Source organism: Homo sapiens, chromosome 13 (assembly GCF_000001405.40).
Source record: "Homo sapiens chromosome 13, GRCh38.p14 Primary Assembly".
In the NCBI taxonomy this organism is placed as follows: Eukaryota; Metazoa; Chordata; class Mammalia; order Primates; family Hominidae; genus Homo; species Homo sapiens.
In genome coordinates this window covers 109,453,714-109,460,933 of record NC_000013.11, presented here as the reverse complement: position 1 = coordinate 109,460,933, position 7,220 = coordinate 109,453,714, and the positions used below count along the sequence as shown (strand labels likewise).

Genomic DNA, 7,220 nt, shown 5'->3' with positions numbered 1-7,220 from the left:
CAGGATACAAAATTAAAACAAAAAATCAGTAATGTTTCATTACACTAACAACAGGCCATCTGATAAATAAATTAAAATAATCCCATTCATAATTGCTACAGAAAATATACTTAGGAAAAAAATAACCAAAAGATGAGAGACCCTACACTTAAAACTGTAAAATATTAATGAAAGAAGACACAAATAAATAGACAGGTATGCTGTTTTCATAGACTGGAATAAATAATATTATTAAAATGTATATGCTACCCAAAGTGATCTACAGGTTCCATGCAATTTCTATCAAAATTTTAATGTCATATTTCATTAATATAGAAAAATTTCCTAAAATTTATATGGACCTATAAAAAATCCTGAATAACCAAAGCAATCATGATCAAAAAGAACAAAGCTAGAGACATTACACTACCTGATTTTAAACTATACTACAAAGTGATAGTAATTAAAATGGCATAGTACTGACATAAAAATAGACACAGAAGGATAAGGACAGTGTCTTCAGTAAGTGGTACTGGAAAACCTGAATATTTATATGCAAAAGAATGAAATTAGACCCATATCTCACACCATATAAGAAAATCCATTCAAAATGGATTAAGACTTACATGTAAGACATGAAATTGTAAAACTACTGGAAAAAGATATATGAAAAAAACTGCATCACATCAGTCTATGCAATGATGTTTTTAGATTTGACCCCAAAAGCATAGGTGTCAAAAGCAAAAATAGACAAATGAGATTAAATCAAAATAAAACCCTCTGCATAACAAAAGAAGCAATTAACACAGTGAAGAGACACTGTGTGTGGACTGGGAGAAAATATTTGCAAGCCTTATATCTGATAAAGGATAAATATCCAAAATATATGAGGAACTGAAACAACTCTACAGAAAGAAAAATAATCTGATTAAGAAATTGGCGAGAGACTTGAATAGATATCTCAAAAAAATGACATGTGAATGGCTAACAGGTACATTTAAAAATGCTCAACATCACTAATCACTGGGGAGATGCAAAGTAAAACTCCAATGAGTTAACACCTCATACTTCTTAGAACAAGACTGTTATCAAAAAGACAAAAGATAACAACTATTGGCAAAGATGTGGAGAAAAGAGAATTCTTGTGCACTGTAAGAATGTAAATTAGCACAACCATTGTGGAAAATAGTTTGGAGCTTCCTCAAAAAACTAAAAATAGAATTATCGTATGATCCAGCAATTCCATCCCTGGGTAATTACCTGGAGGGCTTGATATCAGTACATGGAAGAGATGTTTGCACTCCCACGTTTACTGCAGCACTATTCACAATAGCCAAGTGAAGGAATCAACTTAAATGTCCATCAATGGATGAATTGATAAGGAAAATGTGGTGTATGTACACAATAGAATCCTATTCAGCCTTTAAAAAGGGAGATACTCTGTCATTTTTAGCAAATGGATGAAATTTGTAATTATGCTAAGTGAAAAATCCAGGCACAGAAAGACAAAAACTGCTTGTTCTCAGTTATGTGTGGAATCTAAAACAATTGCTTTCATAGCATCAGAGAGTTGAATGGTGGTTACCAGAGGTTGCTGTGAGAAGGGGTAGAGGAAAGACAAAGGGCACAAAACCCCAATTAGATAAAAGGAATAACTGTTTTTTTGTTTGTTTGTTTGTTTTCGAGATCTATTGCACAACATGGTGAAAATAGCTAATAATTGAATACTGTGCACTTTAAATTTGCTAAGAGAGTACATTTCAAATGTTCTTATCACAAAAATATTAAATATTTGAGGTGATGAGTATGTTAATTAGCTTAATTTAATTATTCCGTATTGTATTTAAAAATTATGTCATCACTTGTATCCCATAAATACATATAACTGTAGTTTGACAATATATAATAAAAATGTTTAAAAGCCCTAAATTCTTTTTTTTTAACTTTAAGTTCTGGGATACATGTGCAGAACATGCAGGTTTGTTACATAGGTATACATGTGGCATGGTGGTTTGCTGCACCTATTGACCTGTCCTCTAATTTCTCTCCCCTCGCCCCTCATCCCCCAACAGGCCATGGTGTGTGTTATTCCCCTCCCTGTGTCCATGTGTTCTCATTGTTCAGCTCCCACTTATGAGTGAGAATGTGCTGTGTTTGGTTTGGTGATAGTTTGCTGAGGATGATGGCTTCCAGCTTCATCCATGTCCCTGTAAAGGATTTGATCTCATCAAAAAGTGGGCCAAGGGTATGAACAGACACTTCTCAACAGAAGACATTTACGTGGCCAACAAACATATGAAAAAAAGCTCAACATCACTTATCATTAGAGAAATGCCAATCAAAATCACAATGAGATACCATCTCATGCCAGTCAGAATGGCGATTATTAAAAAGTCAAGAAACAATAGATGCTGGCAAGGCTGTGGAGAAATAGGAACACTTTTACACTGTTGGTGGGAATGTGAATTAGTTCAACCATTGTGGAAAACAGCATGGCAATTCCTCAAGGATCTAGAACCAGAAATACCATTTGACCCAGCAATCCCATTACTGGGTATATACCCAAAGGCATATAATTCATTCTACTATAAAGACACATGCACATGTATGTTTATTGCAGCACTGTTTACAATAGCAAAGTCATGGAACCAACCCAAATGCCCATCAGTAATAGACTGGATAAAGAAAATGTATATATACACTATGGAACAGTATGCAGGCATAAAAATGAATAACCCTAAATTCTGGTGGATGTTGTGCCATTCAAGTACAAAGGAGGCCACCTTTAATCATCTAGACAGAGAAGTTGGTGTGATGAAAGGATCAACTCATCTTTTTCTAAGGGGCTAAAGTATTCTTTCAGTTGTTTCTTATCTATATTATAACTTATGAAATCCTTTGTGCCAGAAACTGTGGGTTGCCTGCCTTTTAGCCACAGCCAGTTCTACAAAGAAAGTAAAAGTTCTCTTTCATGTAGCCACAGCTTTAGGGCAACCAGGGTCCAGCTGCAGTTGTTGGGTGAGCCTGCCTTAGCTTAAGTCCATCCTGGAGGCTGATTCTCCTCTTTAGAATTGGGTTTAGGTAAAGGCACATGGTCCAATTGTTACTAGTTACCTGTTACAGAACAGGTTTGCTGGGAGATTTGGGAAATATTTCTTTGCTCTTACAAAAATCCCTAAAGGAAGTCAAAGATAATGATTGTCATGCCTGTGATGCTTGAAATCATGTCAGTTACCTGGTACTATGAGGTATAGTGAAAAGTGCAAGAAAGAAATGCAACAGTAGGGATAGGACCTGGGTTCTTCTTGACCTTGAAGAACTTATTAGACTGTTGAGCTATGGCTTTCATAGCAGGAATGAGAACCAACAGTATAGACCAATGAGCTGGATTTGAATCATTCCCACTTCAGAAGACTCCAGAAGACCCCACAGATCACTCCCCCGGTGGGGAGGCACCACTAAATCCTGATGGTAGAACATACTGAGGGGAACCCCAAGATCCTGTTAGGGATTTTGAGAGTTCAGAACTACTTCCATAATAATATTGAGGCGTCATTTGCCTTTTCACTTTCTTTGTCTCATGAGAGCACAGATGGAGCTTCCCAAGACTGTATGACTTGTGATAGCAAAACACATGAAATATAGAATCAGGTCTAAGAATTCAGCTTTCTTCTATTCAGCCAGACATCTAAGCGATTTTGGAAGTTGCCCGATATCTGGCTGAATTTCCCTCGCTATCAGACAATGCCATTCTGTTGTAAATGTTTTTGGTTTTGAGTTATTTCTTAATAAATATGTTATTTGTGTTACCATGTGATGGGTTTGTTATCAACTGTAAATAAGTTAATAACTATTTAAAATTTTTTTCTAAGCCCTAATTTCTAATACAATAAATGTCAGTAGATATAGCCTACATGAACAAAAGCTTTGTGGAGTCCTCAATAATTTTTTAAGAAGGTAAAGGGATCCTGAGATCAAATTACTTGAGAACTGCAGACAAAGACATATACTTTTTAAATGAAAAAAAAATCTTAGAGGTGATTGATAACAGCTCAAAACCTTCATTTAACAAAAAATTCAGCACCACAATGAAGGCATTGGTACAAGTTCCCATGGCCACTACTGCTGTGTGGGATCCCAGCTGTCTGCTGCAAATTTCCATTCTCTCTTCCTCCATGTCCCCTTCCTGTTTGTTGCAAAGGCATTGGCTTTTGTAGTCTGCTGTAGTCTGGGGTGGCACTGGCAGAATTTTGTCGAATATTCTGAGCATTTCTGGAATCTGCTATGTCTTTGCCCTGACATGTAAGGATCATTGCTGTTTCTAATGACCTTGAAATCTACAGGGATGCTGATAATTGACTTGATTTCCCTTGCATTCTCAGAATTTGATGATGATGGTCTTTTCACTAAACTTTAGCTTCTAGATCTGACCCAGTTCTATTTCAAACATTTGAGGATGCTTCAAAGATGACAGCTTTGAAAAGAAAGGAAGGCATGTAATTGCTAGTCATGGCTTCTTTCTGGAACTAAAATTGACCTGCAACTAGCATCATTACAAAATTTGTATTAATTTGTTTCTAGTACATTGAGCTGTAATTTGGATAATGAGTTGCCTGCTATTAACTAAACTAATTAATGTGATTATTATATTTAGTCAAAAATACCTTTTAATTTCATAACACTGTGATTTCCTATAGATTTGGAAGAAAAGAAAGAAGAAAATGAGTAACACATAGAAAAAGCATTAGAAGGGAAAATGCTAGGCCCCAAACACCAGTCCTTTGATTCCTTTACTAGACTTATGCATAGATACCCTGGTAACCCTCCATTCTCCTTCTAATCATCTGTTCAGCACTGTATCAAGAATATAGTAGATATTCAAGAAATATTTTTGAGAGAATAAACAAATGCTTGTGGCAGGCAGAATAATGGTCCCCCTCTCCAAAGAGGTCCACATCCTGATCTCCAGAACTTGTGTATGTTCTACCTTAGTGGCAAATGGATTTTACTGATGTGATTAAGTTAAAAGCTAAAGATCTTGAGATGGAGAGAGTATCCTCGGTTATCCAGGTGGAACCAAGGTCACCACAAGGGTCATCATCGGAGGGAGAAGAAGGCAGGAGGTGAGAGTCTGGGGGAGACTTGGGATGGAAGAGGTCACGGTGATGTGATCACAGAATGTGAATTAAGCAATGTGAGGAGGACTCCATTTGCTGTTGCTGGCTTTCAAGATGGAGAAAGGGACCATAGCCATTCTCAAATTTCATGTTTCAGAGTATGGACAAGAGATAGGATTTGATTCAAGATTCAGAAAGAAGAAAATGTTTCAATTATGAGACCATTGCATGCAAGTCTAAGAAACATTATACATCAACTTCTTTGAAGTATCTCCTGGAACAGTGTTTGGAAAAGACAAAATACTAGACAGGACATAAAAATTATTGTATTTCCATTGCTCTAATTTTTTTTGAACTGTCATTTCTGCAGCACACTAAAATGTGATTTAGACACCATTTAGTAGCTTTTCTTTTTTGTAATGTATTCCTTCAGAATCTTCACTCCTCTTTCTTGGATTGTAACTCTTTGACTAGGTAAACTTGTGCTTCCGAGAGTTCTTTATGAAGGGCCAGGGACAGTGGCTCAGTCCTGTAATTCCAGCACTTTGGGAGGCCAAGATGGGAGGATCGCTTGAGACCAGGAGTTCAAGACTAACCTTGCCAACACAGCAAGACCCTATCATGTCTATTAAAAAAAATAAGAAAGAGTTCTTTATGAAACATAATGATTTCCTTTAATAAGAAATACTTTGTAAAGTAGAAGGCATAAAAGTCTTCCCAATTTATGTGTTTAAAAAATTATTAAAGGACACTATATCTTTTTATTTCCAAGATAATTTGTATAGATCAAATTCTATACATGATTTTGGAGACTCCATTTAATTGTGAAATCTGTATTATTGTAAATGCTCCCTTTAAATTGCCAAGGACAGTATATTACTAAAACCCCCCTTTTTTTCCTTATAGTCATATAGATGTGCTGCTCTATAACTAGATTTGGAAAAATGTTACAATTCTTCCTCTTCTGGAAAAAAAGTATTTTCCTTTATTATCCTTTAGTGTCTAAAAATAGGCTGGAATTAAATGTCATGTACCTTTGGAATTCATTTTATAAATACACTTGGTAACTAGGAAACTCACATTGTCATTATTTATAATCTAGGAATTCTTTCCATGGTAACTGTTAGAAGGTCACAATTATTGAGTCACAACAGTGGCTAAGAGGCTATTTAAGAATTCACCAAAATAAGGCGATTGACAGGAGGAGGTAATGTCTGCTTTTCTGATCACCCAAATTAACGAGGTGAGGTCTTACGTTGAAGCAGTGGCTGCATCTTCAGTTCAGTTACATCTTTCCTGCCATGGCCCTTCTTTCAGCCAAGCAATCATGCCAGCATTACCAACCTTTTCTCTCACAGCCCTTGGAGACTCAGTGCCATGAACTTGGATACCATTTATAGTGTTTTCTCTGTCTTGTGACATCATGTGTAGGTTGATTATATTGGCACACAATAGGGTTTCCAAAGCCCAGGATTCAGCTGAGAAGTGGGAGGCAGCCTCTGTCTGGGACTGAGTCTCACACAAGCTCACAGAAAGCTCTCACCGTGTCCCAGAGCCATGCTTGGGGGAGCCTGGGAACAGGCTTGCAGGAGCAGGTCCTTGGTAGCCACCTCTTACTAAGTCTCACAGCAGTGGAGGTTGGCTCTTAAGCAGCCACATAAATATACTTGAAACACCTTCATTTGTTCATTATAATAAACAAGACCTCCTGTCACTAAGCCGGACATCTTATTAATACGTACAGTGCCAGCCTCTGCCCTAACACCTCCAAGACATTGAGAGAATGTTGAATGGACTATGTGGTAATAGAGACAGCAGCTTAATGGAGGCCAGATACCCAAACATGAGCTAAGAGTTTGGCTTTACTCATTATCAGATCTGTGAAACAGGATGTGACCCCAGATTTTAAAGAGTATTTTGCAGTAGTATGCAGAAACATTGGTGTAATCAAACATACACACATATGTAATGTGAATTAAGCATTTTGAGAGTAAAAGTCGTTAAACCTGTAATCAATGCCAAAAAAACCCGTACAACTTCAGAAACATTTCTTGGGGTGAATTACATGGCCCATGAGCTTCTTGCTTAGATTAACTCACCATAATTCAATAGCATCAGCAGTAG

At 36.8% G+C, this 7,220-nt stretch overlaps 1 annotated feature.

Moving 5' to 3' along the window:
- Positions 6,006–6,281: an enhancer, noted in NCBI's record as "heart enhancer 14". NCBI's record gives its function as "activates a minimal c-fos promoter by transgenic reporter assays in zebrafish embryonic heart {active_cell/tissue: heart(embryonic)}" and the evidence as "EXISTENCE:transgenic organism evidence [ECO:0001131][PMID:20075146]".